This window comes from Homo sapiens, chromosome 15, assembly GCF_000001405.40.
Source record: "Homo sapiens chromosome 15, GRCh38.p14 Primary Assembly".
Classification (NCBI taxonomy): domain Eukaryota; kingdom Metazoa; phylum Chordata; class Mammalia; order Primates; family Hominidae; genus Homo; species Homo sapiens.
This window is the reverse complement of record NC_000015.10, coordinates 94,066,470-94,087,569: the sequence shown is the minus strand read 5'-3', so window position 1 is coordinate 94,087,569 and position 21,100 is coordinate 94,066,470. Positions and strand designations below refer to the sequence as shown.

Sequence of the window (21,100 nt, the reverse complement as noted above, 5' to 3'; positions counted from 1 at the left end):
CTATTGCTATCAAAGTTCTTGTTTGATGGAGCTTTGCAATTGTTATCGATTTCTGACGTGCAATGTTTTATTTTATAGAGGCAAGGTACACAGAAGCTTTCTGTGAGGGGAGACACCTAGAATCAAGTTCTATACCAACGGGTTCTGTGACCTGGGCCCATCCCCGAAGCTGAGAACTCTTGGTCTCCTTATATTCAAATGGAGGCGCTACATCTAGATAGGCTGAAAAAGTCTCTCTTACTCTAACCTTTAATTATCTACTCTTTCCCATGCTTGTTATTTCTTAACTTTGCACTTTCAAAACACAAATAAAATTTTTGCATGATACAGAAACCGGAGATCTCTGAAGTAAACTAGAAAAGGAGGCTGGGCGTGGTGGCTCATGCCTGTAATCCCAGCACTTTGGGAGGCCGAGGCGGGCGGATCACAAGGTCAGGAGTTCAAGACCATCCTGGCTAACACAGCGAAACCCCATCTCTACTAAAAATACAAAAAAAAATTAGCCAGGCGTAGGTGGTGCATGCCTGCAGTCCCAGCTCCTTGGGAGGCTGAGGCAGGAGAATGGCATAAAACCCGGGAGGTGGAGCTGGCAGTGAGCCAAGATCGCGCCACTGCACTCCAGCCTGGGAGACAGAGTGAGACTCCGTCTCAAAAAAAAAAAAAAAAACTAGAAAAGGAACCCAAGACAATATTAAGTAAAATCTCTGCTATCCTTGGCCAGCTGCTTTCCTGGGTAGACCCCTTAGAAGTGTCTAACAGTTGTTAACCTTTGAAAGTAACTTTCACAACATCAGATCCTGAGAGGTCCTGCCTGTTCACAGTCCCTTCAAAGGTGGTAGAAGTGGAGGCTCACTTTCATTACTTTGTGCCTTGAATCCAAGAGATTTGCAGCAGTATGAATTTTCTGACAGCAAAATTATTCTCTTTTCCTAATAGGCTTTTTACTTGGTTTTGCTTTGTACTTTTAAGAAGAGATGCACTTGGATTAGCTGGGTCATTTGGGAAAGAATGTCTGCCAGATGTATACTGTATGATTCAGATATTGTTATTACTGAAGACATACCATTTTTTTCATCTTCAGGAAGTTTGACAGTTGAATCCAAACACATCTTCATTGATTGCAGTGTTTGTTATATTTCCAGATACTTTAAGAATCCTGATTATTACTGTTTTGTGAAGAAAGCTTTTTTTTTCTTTAGTAAGCACCTGCCCTCCCCCAGACAATGTGACTCTTACGCAAGGAGTTCCTATAGAGTTTGAGTGATGGTGTACGCTCAACTTGTTATTTTCTTGCCCATTCTTGAAGACAACTGCTAGGAAAAGCATCCAATAGAAGTTCACAAACTAGAAAAAAATTGGATTTTTTTTTCTGGTTTCTCAAGTGAAAAATTCAGTACTCCACAAAGACCAAAATTTGTTCTGCTTTTGATATTAAAAAGAATATTTTTTTCTGTTCGTCTTCTACCTTGGGATTATATTAATCTATTGCCATATATGATTTTACAATTACATGGGGCCATGGTATGATTAATACATATGACATAAATATGTATTATGGAACTTGCATGAATACTAAAGAAGGACACCGATTCACTGCGGGACATTTGGGAAGTAGCTAGCTGACCTCTTGGAGACTCAAATCCCTCATCTGTGCAGGAGGCACTACTGCCCTCACAACGTTCATGTAAGAACCAAACGAGGGAATGCATGTGGATTGCAGCATAGCACTGTGCCTGGCAAATAGTACACTCAACAAATTACATGACAATTTATTTTCTCATGGAGAAACATGTTTTCAATTTCTGAATCATATTAACCACTTTAAATAATATTTTATAATCTAACTTAATAAATGCTTGTAAGAGGGGAAGAAAAGTTTGACACAATATATTGCTCTGAGAATTTTCCTCTTTATTCTGGGAAACTACACATGTTCATGACCAACTGATGAGTGAATTTGGTACAGGTCATTGGAAATGCCTTTCCCCCCCAATTCTTGGTAAAGAACATAAGGTTATGATATTAAGAGACATTTTAAACTGCTTCCTTCTTTTCTTTTTAAGCATCTTAAAGGCAGGTCATCTAGATTTACTCATTAATATTTGCAAATTGTCATGTAAATGCTTATTACCAGTACAATTATGGCTTACCACATTGACAATAAACTGAAGAAAAAAAACAAAATATCTAAATCCAGTAGCAAAGATAAGAGCCTCCTTCTATGGATGACTCCAGGGAAAATGCTTACATACCAAACAGAAAGAGATATCAGTTTAAGAATTAAAAACATCAAGGTATACTGTTAGAGCTAATGTGGATCAAATATTACCAGAATCGGTGACTTTTTAGTTATTCCAAAACACAAGTAACATACTTTTACTTTCATAGAGTTGAAGAATTTTAGAAAAGTTAAACTGGTCTTTATGGGTAAACATTTTCAGGTTTACAAAGTTTTAGTCAATTATAAAGCTTGAAGGATTATGAGATAACCAACCCCCTGCAAACATTTCTAGAATACTGTCTACCTGCCAAATGTCACTTGATTATGTGCTTAAGGTGGACAGAGAGTTCATGTGTTTGACTTATGGATCAGAGTTGCCGTAGTGCTGGGTCCCAGGTGAGTCCATGGTATGACAAGGGCAGGTTTTATGGGGTATACAAAGCAAAGGAGAGCAATTATGAAAATAAAGATATTTTAAAGTAACCCTAGTCCCTGACAGAAATTGGAAACTTAGGGCAAGAGGTGGCTAATGCCCAACAGTGTGCTGTGCAAAGGATAAACAATTGCCTCTTACAGAGACAGCTGGGAGGCCAATTTCTGTGGTGCAGAACCCACCATGGCCGATTTCAAGTTACCAGCATGAAAGCACTGAACACGTAGATGGGTAGAGATACTAAGAATTGGCTCTTACAAGATGGGCTCCAGCACACCACCAACTCTCTCAGTATGGCTGGCTCATCTATGCATTATTTTCTTGTTGGCTTATCATAAAGTGGAAAGTCTTACCGTGGTTAATCATTTTTTAAAATATTTTCTTTCATTTTCTTACCAGGGACATAAGAATAAATTTAATCAAAGTAGATAAGGAGAAACTGGATAAAGATGGCCCATGGTATAGCCTGGAGGGTGTCATTTTTACCATAGTTTATGTGGATGGTGCCTCCTGGAGTTGTGCAGGATAGGGCCTGCACAGCTATATGCAGTGGCCCTGCCACACCTTCATCTGCTTGACTTCACCACTTATCTCTCACACACATACACACACACACACACACACACACACACGTGCCCAGCAACTAATGATATCTCCTACTCTGTGCTAGGCAGTTATTATTCCAGCTCATTCCCTTCTTCCAATCTAAACTTGACCTGTGACTATTCAGGCTCCATCTGGTACTGGTGGTTCTCACAGGATACCGGAGCAAGCCTAGAGGGGAATCAGGAAGAGGGAAATAGGGACCTCTGAAAACAATGTTCATCAGCTATGTGCAGATGTGTTTCAGGAGGCAGTCTGGGAGGCAAGGGTAGAGAAGGCGCAGGATACTCACAGTTCTGTCACTAGCTCAGGAGCACTTAGGCATAGTGTTCATTATCTGGGGGAGGAAAAAGAATAAATCAGTGCTTCTACATTCAGCTAAATTACCCTTAAAAGACCTCGCCACTCAGTTGGCTTCCCCAGCTGAGTCATGGCTTCCTGAGCAGCCAGGGGGCCTAAGGAAGACTCTGTGGGTGGCTCTGAATGGGGCAATAACACAGTGCTAATCCCACCAACTTGGACATGAGCTTTTTAAAAAGAACAACAAGACCAGTTGATTGATGGTGTTATTTTGGTTTTTTGTGGGAAGGAATTTACTTTGGGAGTATACTTGTGCTGCTCAGAGCTTTCAAATGCAGGGAGGATTTTAGAGGAGGGAATGTCATGTTCCCAGACTTTTAGGGCACACCTGAGAGCATTATCCGGCAGACCAGGACTCAAGGGACTTGGCAGCAGGCACAGTCAGGCTCTGCCTAGGCACAGCTCTAAGTGTGGTCTGGTCTATGGCTGTGTGCACAACACTGGCGAACCGGCGCCCTCCTCCCCCACATACACATTTACAACATGCTCATCATTTCTTCCAAGGATGGGAAACCCAAAATAAATAAAAATAAATCTGGCTGCCATGTTCTTTTCTGCCAAAAATAACTAATAAAGCAGTCATTATAATTTTTCTAGGATATTACGGATCTTTCAAACAGAATGCCAAACTATAAAGATGTGTGGAATATGAGCACAATATATACTATGTGAGTAAAGAAGCTACAGGCTGCGGGTAATAGGAGAACTACTTCAAAGCAGCTATGGGAAAGCTAAAAGGGGTTAGAAGTAGGAGAAGGTTATTAGAACGTCATTAGGCCATTTCATGGAAGCCAAGAGCAGAAAGGCCACGGATGTATGGACTGGAGCCAGGATTGGAGCATGGGGGAGCCTGCATGGATTGGTGACTTTTTCCACAGAGTGTGGGTTCGTGCCTCTTTAGCTGTAGATCAGTACTCTGTCCATAGGTCTATAGGACAGAAAAGGATGGCCAAGAGCTCCTGAATTTTACATGTTCCAGTCCAGGGACTAAAGAGATTTCTCTTTCCAACCCAGTCTACACAATTGATGAGGAAGAAACAGGAGTTTCCCCAGGTCAGGTGTGACCCCTGATCAATCAATTGTGGATGGGCACAGAGTCGGGGAAGGATTTTGATTAACCGGGCTCGGGTCTCCTCTGCCCGCAGAAGTGAATACTACTTTGCCTCCTGCTGGAATCCCTTTCCGTCCATGAAAATACACAATGGATTAGAAGGGTCAGGGGTTTGGAGTCAGGCAAATCTGAGTCTCGCTTATTAGTTATGCAACTCTGGACGAATCACTTAATCTCTTCAAAATTCAATGTCCTCATCTATAAAACTGGACTAAAACTATTGGCCATGCAGCATTGTCAACCTAAAAGGATGCTGAGTGGGAATTTTCCTCATGCCCAAAAGTGAGGCCAAAAAGAACTGTGAAGAAATTGACATTCTCTGGCACAGCGGTTCTCAAAGTGAGTCCTGGGACCATCAGCATCAACCTCACCTGAGAACTTGTCAGAAATGCAAAATCTTGAACTCTAGCCTAGACTTACTGCGTCAGAAACATTGGACATGGCAACCAGTGATGCAGGCCGCAGTTTGAGAACTTCTGCTCTATGGACCTAGAAGGAACCTCCAAAGAGCCCTCCAGAGTGGACCACAAACTCCTGGTGGAGGCCAGTTGAATCTACTCCTCCCAGGTAACCTCTTCTCAGACAACAGTCTATAATGCAGGCTATGGGGAGGACAGGCACAGGAGGGAATATCTGGAGTCCAAAATATTTGGGATATCGAGGGTCTAGTGTGGTTTACATGGGAAAAAATAAGATTTCTCCACCTTAAGCCAAGTGAAGATTAAAGATTGGGGGTGTTTGAAACAACGGGGAATTAAGTCTCCCCTGGCCAGGTGCCATGTAACTGTGGAAAATTGCAGACCTGCTTTGCTGCCAGCACGGTTGGAAGAAGTTCTTGGGAAAATATTTCTCCTCTCTCAGAGCTTCTAGACCCTGAAGAGAGAGGGGAAGCAAAGGGAACTAGCAGACCACGTCTCCTCCTCACTGAAGGATAGGCCAACCAGATAGGCAGGGGAGGGTAGGAGACTGTGGCTTTAAATGGGAGGAGCTAAGCCTGGCATAGTGTAAAAACACCGTTCCAATAACCGGAGGTAAATAGATGCCATAGGATGTGACCCATATGGCATTGCATCATTGCAAAGAGTGATTTTTAAAAAGAGCTGTGTTGAAGGCAATTAGTAGAAAATAAAAAAATAAAAGTATTTGAGATGCTGTTTGGAAAACACATAAGCATCGAGGATGGTTACTAAAGCATTGTCATTTATTGAGTGCCTCCATGGTCCAGACTCTTCGATAAGCAACTAAAAAAAAGAATCACATTACATGTTTATAACAACATTGTGAGGCGGTTATAATTCCCACATTACAGAGAAGAAAACTGAGGCCCAGAGGAGGGGAGACAAGTTGCCAAAAGCACACACTGAGTCAGCAGAACCCAGCCCCGGCCACCATGTGCCTTTCCCTGACACTGAAGCCGCATTGTAACCATTGCTTGTTTAGGGTGGCTATTTTAATAATACGTTGATCCCTAAATCGGGGATGTTACTCATTTCCTTCTGGAATGGAATCCTTGAGCATTCCAACTGCAGATCAGGGTAGGGAGACTGTCTCTCTGTGCTTCATTGGTTCTTGTGGACCCCCACACAGAGGTCCCGGCCAGGGACAGTCTCCGCGCTGCTATTTCAGAACCGGGAGTCCGCTTTTCAGAGCTGGTATTTATTAGGTTGGTGCAAAAGTAATTGCGGTTTTTGCCATTACTTTTAGTGCCAAAAATCGCAATTACTTTTGTACCAACTTAGTACATGACCCTGTCTTGCGACTTAAAACTCAAGGCAAAGATACTCCAAGTGCTAACTTTAGTTTCTCAGACAAAGCTCTAGATAATGCCTATGAAAGGGCTCTGTAAATCGTGAAAGGGCCGAGCAGTGTGCAGCCTCACGGTGGAGTCACCTGGACTCCACTCAGAAAGGCTGCAAGTCTCTTACTTTGAGAGTGGCAAACGGTGCTTGCTGGCATCTTCCAGTCCTGAAAGTAAAATCGAAGCCATTCAATGCCTGTCTCTCCCTTGCACACACACCCATTTATGAGCATGAATCACAGATTTCCAAATAACAAATATGAACTTTAGAAAAAAAAAAAAACACCCACCGCATAGCCCAGAGCCTTCCAACCCCCCTTTCCAGCTGTCGATCAAGGCGGATTCTGACTAGCCCAGGAGGAGGGGGTGGGGAGGCGGAGCTATTAAATCAGGCCCCAGGAGGTTCGACACTTGCAGCCATTTGTAGTGAAATTACCAGCTGAACTTGGTTTAGAACCTCGCTGGAGCCCTCCCTGAAGGGTGTGGTTCAGAGCTGAGCAATTTGCTGTGGGTGAAAGCTTTGTGGTTGATTACTGAGCTAAGGAACAGGTCACCGAAAACCAAAGGAGCCGGAGGGTGTACCAGAAAAGCTTCCAGCTGCAAGAAGCCATGCTAAGGTCACTCTCATTCTTTTCTAAGCATCTAGAAATACATTGCTGTTAATTCTAATAAAACTTCAGCAGGTCCTCAAATAACATCTTTTCATTCAATGTCTTTTTATAACATTGATGAGAAAAAAAATAAAAAATATCAATTCCTGGCCAGGGCCACCATCTGTGTTTGCAAGTTCTTCCCATTTCTGCCTGGGTTTTTCCTGGGTACTTTGGTTTCCTCCCACATTTCAAAGATGTGCATGTTAGGTTAGTCTACATGGTCCCAGTGTGAAGGAGCGTGGGTGTGGGTGTGAGCGTGCCCTGTGATGGGATGGTGTCCTGCCCAGGGCTGGCTTCCACCTTGAGCCCTGAGCTGCAGGGATAGACTCCAGCCACCTGAGACCCTGAACTGGGATAACTGGGTAATCAATCATCATCATTGTGTTTATTAATCTTTCATCGACGTATGTATAGCTTGCATGTATTTCAATGTTGAATATTGTGTTTTGGTCTTTATTTAGGAGTTTGGGGATGTTTTTGTGACCAGAAATACGCTGTAGAAACTTAACTCTTGTTTATATCAATTAGCCTAGGATAAAACTGGTTTTGTTACACATCATTTTGCTTAATGCTGTGGTTTCCAAGAACCGACAGATGACATTAAGTGACGACTTTATTAGCTACGCAGGCTGACTGGCTTGCAAAAGTGCTCCAACAACATCCTATTTGGAATGGACACCAGTCTCACAAGGCAAAGCTACAGGAGCTTAGCTGTTGAGGAGTCAGCTCTTCCTTCCGAAGACCTGCCTCTCCTTGTCCAGAAAGCCTATGCCACCCAAAGGGACTGTGTCCTGACAGAAAGGCAGGCTGCCTGCCAGAATAAGGATTAAAGCACAGAAACTCAGGATCCCTCCCCCAACTTTATGTGGCTCACACAATGTGAACTGATGCTCACACCTTATACTTGTAATTGTGTCTCTACATTTATTATTGATAAAGTACTATCTTAGGTATGATCTCATTTAATATTTACAACTAACCTGGGTGTGGTGCTTTTAAGCCTCACTTGACAAAAAAAGCAAAAGAAAACATCCAAGTGTTTGTCCCAACAGGCATAGTAATGAATGGCATAAAAATCAATGTTGAGAGATTTGTCCAGTGTGTTTATCAATACCCCCTAGTATATACTTCATGTTAGATCTTTTAAGAATTTGTGCACAGAAAAAAAATCCACAAGAAATCATCTGTTCTTCAGAGTCAGGGTCCCTGTCTCTAATGATTATGGGTTATGGGTCTCCTCAAGCTCCCCTTTTTCTCTAGGCTCCCAGCAAGACCAGAACAACCAATAGAGGGCAATTCTTGCAACTCTGTGAGCCTTCATGCATGGCATATTTGCTTTCTCTTTTCTTTGAGCTAGTTTTTCTTTTCTTCTAATTAACTTGTCTGTATACAGAAACTTTAGATTCTTTGGGAACTGAGGACAGCTATAAATAAATACATAAATATAATAGCAACAAGCAAAAATGTGAGTGAGAGAGCCGGCCTCCAAGACAGACCTCCTGATTCCAAATTCATTTCCACATCACCATATGGTCTCGTCTGCCATTTCTGCTAAAGGATCCTTGGGACAAGGTGCATTTTGCTTCCTGAGAGATGGTGTATTAGTCCATTATTACATTGCTATAAAGAAATATCTGAGACTGAGTAATTTATGAAGAAAAGAGGTTTGACTGGCTCGTAGTTCTGCAGGTTGTACAGGAAGCAATAGTGCTGGCATTTGCTTCTGGAGAGGTCTCAGGAAGCTTGCAATTATAGCAGAAGGCAAAGGGGGAGCAGATGCCTTACATGGCGGGAGCAGGAGCAAGAGAACGTGGGGGGAGATGCCACATACTTTAAACAACCAGATCTCATGAGAACCCACTCACTATTGTAAGAACAGTACCAGGCGATGGTGCTAAACCATTCATGAAAAATCCACCTCCATGATCCAATTACCTCCCACCAGGCCCCACCTCCAACATTGGGGATTACAATTTGACATGAGATTTGGGTGACAACAAAGACCCAGACTAAATCAGATGGGAAGGTAAGGGACATGGAACACTGCGACCACATTACTATGCCCTCACCTGCCTGGGCAGCAGGGATCTCAGGCCTCATCAGAGCAGAACGATCTGGAAGTTGCTGGCCACATGCCACTGATTTTCTCTCCCAGGAGCAACCCAGCAGTCTTTCCTTGAGGGAGAAATTTAATTACAAGAAATTTGCAAACATATTTGGGAAGAAAGGTAGGGCAGCTATGCTTTAATTAGATAGAGGCTGGTTTTAATTGCCTTCCTGGCAGTGTGTCCCCTTGGGAGTCTGGTGCTTCTGCAAATGAAGACTTGAGTAGAGAATTAGAAAAGGAGCTTTGGTTTGGACATTCCTCGCCACTGGATTGGCTACCACATTCAATCCTAAATTGCAACCTGATAGAGTTATTTTCAGATTTCTGAACCTTACTTCCATCCATGTGATGTTGCTTCCAGTCTGCTGGAGCCGAGGGGCAACAGTCGAGCTGATTATTTGGTCTGCAATGGCCCTAGGTCAGAGCAACAGGCATGCTCGACAATCCTCTGCTGGAAAATTCCAAACTCCTCAGGCCCGCTTTCCATATAAGGAGCCTGTGTGCAAGTGTGTATGTTCCAGAATATTTGTACATGGAAATGAGAGTGTGTGTGAGTAAGCATGTGTATGTGTGATTGTGTGTGTGAGTGCATGAGGGTGGGTAAGTGTGCAGGCATGTGTGTGTATGCATGAAGAAATATGTTTTGTGGGGTTTTTTTTTGCTTTTCAATAATTTTATTTTTTTTCTAATTTTGTTACTATAATTTCCCGTAGCACCTTGGCGATGTTGAAAACAAATACAAACACAAGGATGTACTCATTTTAACATTTTATGCATGAGCATGTGTCACACCAATTTGGGGGGCGACAGTTTTGACAACAGGAACAAATCTAAGCAATCGACAAAACAGAAGCCGGATAACTGGCTCTGACCCCCACCCCCAACATTTAAGGGACGTCAAAGGACACCTGAATAAGGTTAAAAAAATCAAGTTGATATGGATATTTCAACAGTGTTCTGTATTGCAAAACTGAAAATAAAACCATTTAATACACAGCCCATTGATATCTGAGTTACGCTTTTAGGAACTGTCAACTCGAAGATTCATAAAAAGTTGTCAGCTTTTAAAAATAAACTTCAAGTTATCTAATAATCAGGTGAATTTCAAAGGAGAATTTACTCACAACTTGAAAATAAATTCTCTTTCAACTTCTTAAAATATCCTCATTCAGCTAATGAAAAGTGAAACATGTATGTATCTTTTTGGAAGCTCAGACTAGCATAGGCCCAAAAGCCTAAAGTTAAATTAATGGCCACCAAAATTGCAAGGAAATATTAAAAATTAGGAAAAACTCCATCATATATTATAGTCAATAATTTATAAAAGCCCCTCAAAAGGAATACACTGTTCTCTTTTGAGTTTTATCTTTTCTGTAAAAACAAAATTGGTAATTTTAAAATATGGTTAATATATATATTGCCAGCCTAAATACCAGAGACTTAACCGCAGTGTTGTTTGACTGGGTCACAGTAACACCAGTGGACATTTAAGCCAAGAGACTAATTATTAAGGCCATAACTAAGAAAACTAGAGAAGTGTTCATTAACTTTTAAATACTATTTTATGTTCCAGCAACATTCTTTTTGTTCTTCTTTACCCTAGTGAAGATGCTAACATTCCATCACTAAGACTTTCCAGAGCAAACCTGTTTATTTAAAAAAGAAAAAGGAATGTGAAATAATATTCAAGCTATCTTAATTTTAGGAAACAAAAATAAGTCAGAATTCTGCACAGCATCTGATCATCTGCAAATTCAGCACATAAGACAACTACCACAACAAACCTTTCTCATTGAAAGCTCTTATCTTCCTCAAAATCCAGTTGAAAACAATTCAGATGGATCACTATTTTAAATGTCAGTGTATCTGGCAAAATTAAAATTACTCAGAGACAGGCCCTAGGTATTATGAAAACCTTAATTATCAGGATAGCAAATGGAGACAGGTTTTGCAATGTCTCTATGTACCTTCTCTATGAAGTGCAAAGTGGTGAACTTGTGTGACTCTTGTTCTCTTCATGCAGTAAGAACTATGGCAGAGTGTGCATGAAGAAATAGGTGTTTGAGTGTGTGTGTTGGAGTGAGTCAATGTATGTGTGCATGAGTGAGCATGTGAGTATAAGTGTGTGTGTGAGTGTATAAACATGCATGTGCATAGGTGTTTGTGTATGCATGCCTAAGTGTGTATGAGTGTGAATTGCATGAGTGTTTGAATGAGAATATGAGTGAGCTTTTGAGTGTGAATGTGAGTGATCATGTGGTTAAGTGTGCGCATGTGTGTTTGCTATGGTCTCTCTAGTTGCATTAGGAGGAGGAATGAGGGAAAGAGAATGAAACCAGAATGGGCAGATTGCTCGACCTCGCCCTGACCTGATGGCGACAAAAGCGCAGAGCTAAAACTGTTGGCTACAGTGAAAACACAGTTTATCTCCCTCTCACACCTAAGCATCCTTAAATAAATAAGGGAGAGCAGACAAACAAGATTCCCTGGAAAACAAGATAATGAAGTAATCTTCCCATTTGGCTTCCCATGCAGGATCCACAGAGAGACAGGCGTGTGGAACAGCCTGCAGGCGGGTTCACAACACATTCTATGTCCACCCAAGCTTGTTCTGAATTGCACAGATGGGAGGCTCCAGCCAGAGTGATTTTAGCAAGCAGCAGAACCAGTGACATCATTCTGGCTGTAAGAGAGTGGAGTCCCTAAGGAGGTCTTGTTTCCCTCATTTACTGAAAACACAAAACGCATCAAGGGCAGAACTGGGGCCAAACCCCAGCGTGCTTGATGTGCATTTAGAAGATAATTTATCCTGGTTGCCTCAGAGAGGCCTGCTTACGCACGTATTGTCCCGTCTTCATACTAATCCCTTCTTTCCATCCCGTCAGAGGCCGTCTAGCTCATGTCTGGGATGTTTATACTCTGTTATCACTGGTCTCCTTTTTCACCCCATTCTATAAATTACTGCCCCTTAATCAACTTTAAAATTGCCTTGAGGATGTCACTCCCTTGTTCAGAGATATTTGCTGGCTCCGCATTAATTAGAAAATAAAACCTAAGATATTTAATTTGCAGCCAAGATTCAGTACAATCTAATTCTCACTGTTCTTGTTTTTGACATACCTTCTTCCACTTTATCAAAACTTGTCTACTAATTGCATAAGTAACATACCCTATTTATTCATTCTTTTATTCAAAAAATACATAATGAGCGCTTTTCATGTCCCAGGCAGCACACTAGAGACCATAGCACCTGCTGTGAGCAGCTATGCTACTACATTCTCTGTAGGAAATATTAATATACAGGGCTTCTGTGTGTACCACTTCAGGGGTGCCATATACAGTGATCACAATATAATGATGCCTTTTGGATTTTGTAGTGCGTCACCTCTATGTGTAATTTTTACAGCCTTGAAAGGGGAGTGGTTACATTAAATTCATTTTATGGTTGAAAAAACTAAGGCATGGTGTGGGCATTGAAATCCAGGGACCTGTATTCAAAACCGTTATATATAATTAACATTGTTCTGCAGGTTCTCTGGGAAGATACATGATCGTGCACTTTTCTGCTTTTAATTTTTTTTTTCGTATGCTAGAGTTGATGAAGAGAATTAACCAATCAACCTTCATCAAGGCAGGTTTGCATTTTCTATTTCTTCTGTAGCTGCATCAGCCCATCTAAATTCTACACTAGAGTCAACGTGCTGTCATTGAATGGGCATGAGTTTTGGGATCTGACTATTCTTAATTCAGATTCTGGCTCTGTTTACTAGCCTAGGTAATATTCACCAAATTAGTTAACCCTATGAATAAATTTATTATTCATTAAAAGGTTATAATATATTATAGATATTAGAATACATACATATATATGTTGCAGAATTTGTAGATAGATTGAAATACAATGGAAAGCAGAGCCTTTAATATAGTACCTGCCATACAATCTAGTACTCAATGAACACTAGCCATTGCTTTCCCATCACTGTACTCAGATTAAGGGGAGAGGCTGCCATTCCTCCTATGAGAGGCTTCTCTGGGATGAATGCTTGACACAATTCTCTGCCATTCTCAGGGAAATAAGGTAAGAAGTATACTCTCAAAGGTGTGCCCCTCATGCCTCTGTCAAACCAGATTATTTCTGGGTCAGCTCTGAAACACACTTCCACAAATTATTTCTAAGCCTTTGCTTGTGGACATTTCTGAACCACAATCCAGGGATCTAAGAGGGAAATTATGTCCTCCAATGCCTATGTTCCTGGGAAGGAACTTCCTATACTTTTCCTGTTTCTGTCTGGGTAACTTCCCACACCCTACCAAGGGCAGTAGGACGGGGTCCGAGGATTGCAGGGTGCCGCCCACTATGCAGTTGGGATGCATCACAAGTGCACAGTTTCTATCACACAGTCACACTGCACACGATCACTGCCAAATGGTCTCTTCCTATTGCTCCAATCAGCAAGTACACTTTTAAGCCTGAAGACTTGGAGGTTATGAATTTCATGTTGGTTCTATGCCTGATGCCCAATTAGATTAGATTCTACTTTCAGCCCAAAAGAAAAAAAAAAACAAACAAACTTTTCTTTGGAAAAAAATAGTTTTTGTCCAATTTATATCTTAGGTTTACCATGGGGGCTTTAGTTTAAAGTTGTTCTCATTGGAGATTCTTGATTGGCTGGAAGCCCCTGGGCTGTGCTTATAAGAAGTGGCCAAATAACAATGGAATGATACCAATAGTGGTACTGGGTAATGTATTTAAGCATCGTGTTCATTGTTTTGCATTCATTACATCACTGCCAGTGACTCCAGGCCACATACCAGACACACTGAAGGAGCCTTTCCTAAAATACAGATTTCCAGGCCACAGCCCATGCCTCAGAACCTAGTGTAAAATTCTATATTTTAAAAAATATTTTATTAGTGATGTTAGTGCATAGAAATACAGCAAAAGGGGAAAAAATCCCGAGGGTGATAACTACTATCAATGACTGGAGTAGGAAAAGTCATTTCCTAAGGTCCTTTAGAAAGTGGTGAAATTGTAGACTGGAACTCAATCCATCCTGATCTCAGAGCTTGAAAACATAACCCCTACCTAAAGTGAAACAGGTCCAAGAGCACAGACCAATCCTGTGGGATGCTGAGGGTCACTACCTGTGTATTCTGACTCAGTGGGTGTAAGAAAAGGCCCAGGAATCTACATTTTACGGAGCCCTCTGTTACCCTACATGATTTTGATGCAGGTGACCTGAGAACCATATTTTTATAAAACTCCTCTACTTCCTCCAATCTAAAGAAAATAATGCAAACATGCTTTCTCCTAATTAGTTGGCCTATTTCTTAGCTTATCTAGTCAAATCAGCCATTTCCACTGACGTGTCATGAGACCCTTTTTATTTTTCCATCTCTCAATCTTTCTTATCTCTCTATAAGCAGATGACCAAATAATAGATCTGTTAATTCTGGAGCCTAGAGTTCTGAGACCTTAATCTCTTTTTTTTTTTTTTTTTTTCTGAGATAGAGTCTCACACTGTGACCCAGGCTGGAGTGCAGTGGTGCAATCTTTGCTCACTGCAACCTTCTCCTCCCAGGTTCAAGCAATTCCCCTGCCTCAGCCTCCCAAGTAGCTGGGATTACAGGCGTGTGTGACCACGCCCAGCTATTTTTTTTTAATTATTTTTTTATTTTTAGTAGAGATGGGGTTTCACCGTGTTGGCCATCATTCTGCCCTTTACTAGATTCAATCTTCTCGCTTTAGTACAAATTTCTGTTCACAATTTTTCTTCTCAGGATCTACACAAATTTACATAATCTGTGCCCTCCCTAAGTCATTTTCTAGCACTCTTGCTCCCCTTTGCTAAGATGACTATACTGGCCTTATTCTGTACATATTACATGTGAAGAGTTCTCAGGCAATTTATTCAAAAGGCCTTCCCATGCCCAAAGTGAAAATTCTCCCTTACGTGAAAGGCCGTATGAGGAAGTGGAAGGTGTTGGGTGTGCACTTATCATGACCATTAAGAACCGAGCCACAGAGTGGACCTGACAACGTGAGAATTCTAACTTTGCCGTGCAGTAGCCACAGCATCTTCAACAAGTTACTTAATCTTTTGGGGATCTCAATGTGATTATCCATGAAATGAAGATAATATCAGGACTATAACAAGAATTAAATGAAAACACGTGTAAATGTCAATTAGAATTACATTTAAAGTCAGACAGACTTAGATTTGAATTCTCCCTCTGCCACATGCTTGAAGTTAACCTCAGCAAGTCTCAGGTTATAAAATAAATATAAAATTGTCTACCTCATGGGGTGTGGTGGGGAGTGAGTGCAAATGCTAATGTTTAGAAAATTCCCAGAACATTTCCTAGCACATAGGAAATGCTTCATAAAAGTTAGTTATTATCCTCAGCTCCACTCCCAGAGGCCGGTTCAAAGAATCCACACTGCTAACAAGCCCAGATCACGTTAACTCATAGAACCCCTGATGTTCCAGGTACCTACAGTGAGTGTCTCAGAGAATGGGGCTCAATACAAGGGGGTAGGCTGAAGAGTCTTCATCTTCATCTCAAGGGCTGACTATGGGGGTCCCAGAAAAACTCTGCATACCCTAGAGTCACATTATAAGAAGTTTTTTCTTTTAAATTCAGGAAACTGCCCATAACGCGTTTCAGAAAAATGACCCGCAACCATGTCTGTCTCCGCTCTCGTGTTCCCACTGAGGTTGCAGATGCACAGTGCCTCTGTCCACCCCTCTGCATGTCGTTCTTTGGGCTGAGTCTGTTAGCTGTGGTCTCAGAATCCTTCTTAACATGGCATGCACGCTGAAACCTTATTTGCTCTCTCTTCAAGAAAAGATCCCTAAGCTGAGCTTAAACTTCATTCCATCACATACCCTGCTCCGAGCCTGTCATCTCAGAGCAGTGACTCTTGACTTCTTGTTGGCTTCACATTTATCATATTTGTAGCGATTTTATCACAGTTACTATTAACTTTGCATCAGCACAAAGGGCTCCACAGGCCCAGATGAACCAGAAGTATTTTGCCCCTTTATTTTCTTCAAACCTTTTGCTAAGAATAGCAACAAAACCAGAAAGCCCTGGAGCCTTCATCCTCATTTATTTCCATGCCTGGATATAATTTAAGGAGATGCACTAAAAATGTCAAAAGTGAACAAATTGAAAAGAGTGTTTCAATCCTCCAGGCATGAGACAAACTCTCCAGGAAACTAATCTTTAAAATATTTGGAACTGACCAAAGGTTAATTTTAAACCCTTAAGTGAAAAGTGATGGTTTTTGTCCTCATCTGCTGGGTACAATACTGCACACTGAGGTACAGTGGGAAGACAGTCCCTCTTTTCTGTTCCCACCACCCAAGGCACGGTCCCCCACAGCAGAGGCATCTCCGCTTCCTGTTTCCGCCATTTCAAGGGATGGCGCTCCCATCTCTTTAAGCTGCCGCTCTTCCAACTTGGCAGGGCTGATTAGGAAGACCCAGTTCCTGACCACCGATGCTTTGCTACGCTAGGCTGGAAAATGCCTCCCTCTGCCCTTGAGAAGGGGGTCTGAATGTTTTGCGGGACTGACACCGCAGCAACATGCCGGTGTGTTTCACGCTGCTGCCTCCTGTTTCCCTTGAAGCTTTCACCAGACCCTGGATTTCTTTTTCACTTCCTGTTCTGAGCCATCGCCGGGCACTCATTACCCACCAGCTGTGTCCCAGCTGCCGCATTCTACACTAGAGGTGGCGCCCTGCACCCGGCGGGTGAGTCATTCCCCTTCTGCCTGCTAGCACAGTGCATTAAACCTTCCGGGGTCTTTGTTTGGAAAGCAGCTCTATAAATGTCAAGTATTACTAACTGTGCAGGAGAGAGGTGGGAAAACCAAAGGGCTTGGGAAGACTGAAGAATTGAGTAAAACCTTGTTCGTTTGTTTACTTTTTTTTTTCTCCTGTTCTTTCCTTTCTTATCTGCCACTCTACTTTGGATTTCCAGGCTAGCCAAAGGATTGAAATGACCATCCCCATAAATATGTAAATTGACACAAATCTGCAAATACTAATCACTTTAAAATAAAACCGAGATCAGTAGTATTGCTCACATTCGTAGTAACTTTGGCACATAAAATAGAAATGTAGGTAAATCAGGCTTATTATCTTATCCATGAAAAGCTTTCAGTCTAATACAATGAAAGACAATATGCACAATAAGTGTGTGTCGAGATCAGGAAATAGTTCCGTTTCCTTGGAGACAGCAAAGTGTGCCAGGGCGTGGGTATCCCGTCTTGGTAGCTACTGCGGCTGTTTTTACAACCTTTTAACTCTGCTTGTTTTTTGTCTCACTCTTTTTGATATATCCTCTCATTAGAAGGCCGAGAGATCTTCCTTAGATGCCAGTCTTATCAGTCTTTTTCTTATTGCTTTTGTTAAAACCCTTAGAGACGACTGTGGAAAGAGCAAAGGCAACCCACTCAAGTGTAAGAGAAAATCTTCCTAAATTCATCCTTTCAATAGCTAAAAAATTACCCTACACACACTTTTTTTAAAAAGCTGTGATAACTTATCTACTATTGTTTTGAATGGCATGGTACAATGAAGATGTATATCCCAAGGTAGAAATTTTTCAAGAAACTATTTATATAATGACCCACTCTTAAATAAGATTTTTGACTTTGGGAAGAGATTTTGTTAGTGTACACATCTCCAAAGATCTATTGTCATTGATTAATATCCAGGATATCAAGCTTAGAAAATGTTATTTTCCTGATGTTTTGACTTTCTGAGGATGTAAATACTCAACACACCAAACCCAAGGCAGTATTAGCAAGTGGAAGCTTACAAAGTGAAAGACATCAAATGAGCACTTGATTATTTAGGTTATTTAGCTGAGTCTTACAACCCATTGGGGCTTTTTTCTCTCATTGAGTTAGGCAAAACTCTTTGGGGGTTCTTGCTGGATTCAAAGCCTACTGAATTATGAGCAGGCCCAGGCTTCTCTCAAAGGGAAAACTGTCCGGTAAACTAAGAGTTATTTCCCTTATACTAATTTCAAAAGTATTTTCAAAACTGATTCCAATAAATGCCATACTCTGAGGTACGATTCATAGTTGAATAAGAACTTATATTACATAGGCTTATCATATTAGTTTCCTACTGCTGATGTAACAAATTACACAAATGTAGTGGCTTAACACAGCACTAATTTACTATCTAACAGTTACAGAGGTCAGTTTCAAAATAGGTCTCACTGGGCTAAAATTAAAGTGTCAGCAGAGCTGTGTCCCTTTTGGAGGCTCTTGGGGATAATCTGTTTCCTTGACTTTCCCAGTTTTAAGAAGCTGTCTGTATTCCTTGGCTTGTGGCCCCTTCCTCCATCCTCAAAATTAGCAATTTTGGGTGCAGTCATTTTTCCATGCTGCCATCTCTCTGGGCCTTTTTTCTGATTTCCTCTTTCACTTTAGGTATCCTTGTGATTACACTGGGTCTACTGGGATAATTCAGGATAATCTTTCTATGTTAAGGTCAGCAAAATAGCACTCTTAATTCCACCTGCAACCTTAAATCCTCTTTGTCATAGAAGGGAACATATTCAATATACACCGAAAAGGATTTTTCTTAAAAAAGAAAGAGGCTTTATTTCATCAAGCAGTTTGCTTATGAGGAGATGCAGCCTTCCACATAAAACCAAAGTGTGTTCTGAGAGAATAAAAAGAGGGGTTGAATTTTACAGAGAAAGTTCCCACCCAGGTTTCCACTCTGGTCCACCATGCAAATGAGGGATGCAAGCTTGTTTAGTTCAGATTGGTTGAAGCTTGTTTTGTTCTGATTGGTCGAAGCAGGTCACAGTCTATTATTTAGGTCCAAGTGATGAGATGGGGCTTTCTGGCTGCCATTGATTGAGGTGGCATAAACAGGAACAGACAGGTATAAAAGTCCCAAAGTTACAAGAGCATGTGGTTTCTTCAGGAGCCAGAGTATGTGGGTGACCTCTAGTCAGCAATTGGCTGCTTGGCTCCATTTTAAATTCAGGCCCAGCTAGCCACTCAGGATCCATCTTGAGGGGTTGGCTCTTTCAGCTTCGCACACTGGGCCTACTGGTATGACCCAAGATAATTTTCTTATATGAAGGTCAACTACAGCAGTCTTAATTCTACCTGCAGTCCTTTGTCATGTAAGGGAACACATTCCTAGGTTCCAGGCATTGAGATGTAGACTGCTTTGGGGCCAATATTCTGCCTCTTATATGTAGTAATAGACATTCGAGGTTTTAAGTCAACCAGTTGGTGGGGGAAAGTGAATATTTAAGTGAAATTCAACAAAAAATGAAAATGAAGACTTGAGTGCTGTATGAAGTCTCAGATCCTATTCTGGGAGCTATGCTGTTGGATGTTTATGAGCAAGCACCTACTCAGTATCAGACACTATCAAATCTGCAAGTATTAAAAAACAAATAAGAAAATCCCCATCTGCCCTCTGGTAGCTTACCACTGGGAGAGAAAGACAAGCACATTCACAGCATAAGAAGCAGACACTGACTGCTATGGTGCAGAGAAAAAACTGCTTCATCCTGGAGATGACATTTGGAAAGACTAAAACAATCAAGACCGCCCCCCGCCCCCGCCCCCCGCCCCCACAGGCTTGCCGCCACAAAGATATGATAGTCTTAAACAACTAAAATGAATTTTCCTCATATTGACACATTTAAACACTGACAAGACCCTCTGACCACATTCCTATGGCTTCTCCTAGAGCCTAGGAAGGGGCCAGTGTGAGAACACTGAAGTGTAAGGTTCACTTGTTTCTTCTTTGACAGTTAGACTTTGTTCTGCTGATTAGATCAACTCCCACAAACGTCTTCATCCCTTGAACAGAGTGTCTCACATAAAGCAAGCTATATTTTTGTTTCTCTCATAAGCCTGAGATGCAGGGACTTTCAGGGTTAACACAAATCATGGGTTTCCCTAAATATGTTTATACCGTTAAGGTCAATTTCAAAAGACTACCATAGGCAGCCTGACAAGAGAAAAGAAGTTAGAAGATGACAGCCTGGAGCTTGAGGTTGGGAGAATGGAAGTCTAAAAGCAATCCTCATCTTGCAGTCCACTTTGTGACTCTATACCTCAGATCTTGTTTTGGATATCATGTCATAGGCTGTTAATTTCCCCCCAGAATCCATTGTCCTGACCTTTTTATAATAGAAGCTTCGTCCTATAAACAACATGTGACTTTTATCAGAGCACTTGACTTTCAGGCTGAACTAACATTTCACAGCCTCCCTTGCAGCTAGAAGTATGATTGAGTTCTTGCCAATGGAACGTGAGCAGAAGTGACGTGTCTAATTTTAATGTAATTTCCTTTAAAGATACTACTTGTTGTCCACTTTTTCTCCTTTTCATTTCCTTTTGGTGAAGAAATGAAGAGAATCAGACTACCCACCTTGGATTCTGATATGAAAGATTTAGGATAAAAGAGCTACTCCATCAGCCTGGAAAGATGACTCACTGGCAAACTCTTAGATAAAGGTGAGAGAGAAAAATAAACTATTTTATTTAGTCCACTGAATTTTGAAGGCTGTTTGTTACAGCTACTTAGACTGACACTTAACATGGTAAAATAAGTAGTTAAAGGATCATCTTCATTCAGGGAAATGTTATTCCTCCAACAATGAATACATTATTGCCCAGACACTTTCTGAAAAATGACCCACAACCCAGGTTGAAATCATCCAGAAAGTTCTCTTGTGTCTCTGTGCTCTGGCCTGGCCTTTGTAGTCCCTAACTACAGAAAGTAGCTGCCCTTTGAGCAGCATCCTTTGAATGTG

At 41.4% G+C, this 21,100-nt stretch overlaps 2 long non-coding RNA genes across 4 annotated transcripts in view; both read left to right on the top strand.

Moving 5' to 3' along the window:
• Positions 1 to 21,100, top strand: part of LINC01581 (long intergenic non-protein coding RNA 1581) — a 202,536-nt gene that overhangs the window by 20,369 nt on the left and 161,067 nt on the right. The window contains exon 2 of the long non-coding RNA NR_120320.1: positions 4,215 to 5,295. This is a non-coding gene — a long non-coding RNA (long intergenic non-protein coding RNA 1581). The remainder of the gene's footprint in view (positions 1 to 4,214; positions 5,296 to 21,100) is intronic.
• Positions 1 to 21,100, top strand: part of LOC105369203 (uncharacterized) — a 35,447-nt gene that overhangs the window by 11,867 nt on the left and 2,480 nt on the right. The window contains exons 2-3 of one of the 3 annotated variants that reach the window (XR_002957694.2): positions 16,923 to 17,046; positions 20,642 to 20,801. This is a non-coding gene — a long non-coding RNA (uncharacterized LOC105369203). Of the gene's footprint in view, positions 1 to 16,688; positions 17,047 to 20,641; positions 20,802 to 21,100 lie in introns of those variants that run through there. The other 2 variants (XR_243236.5, XR_932631.3) reach the window with 2 other exon arrangements.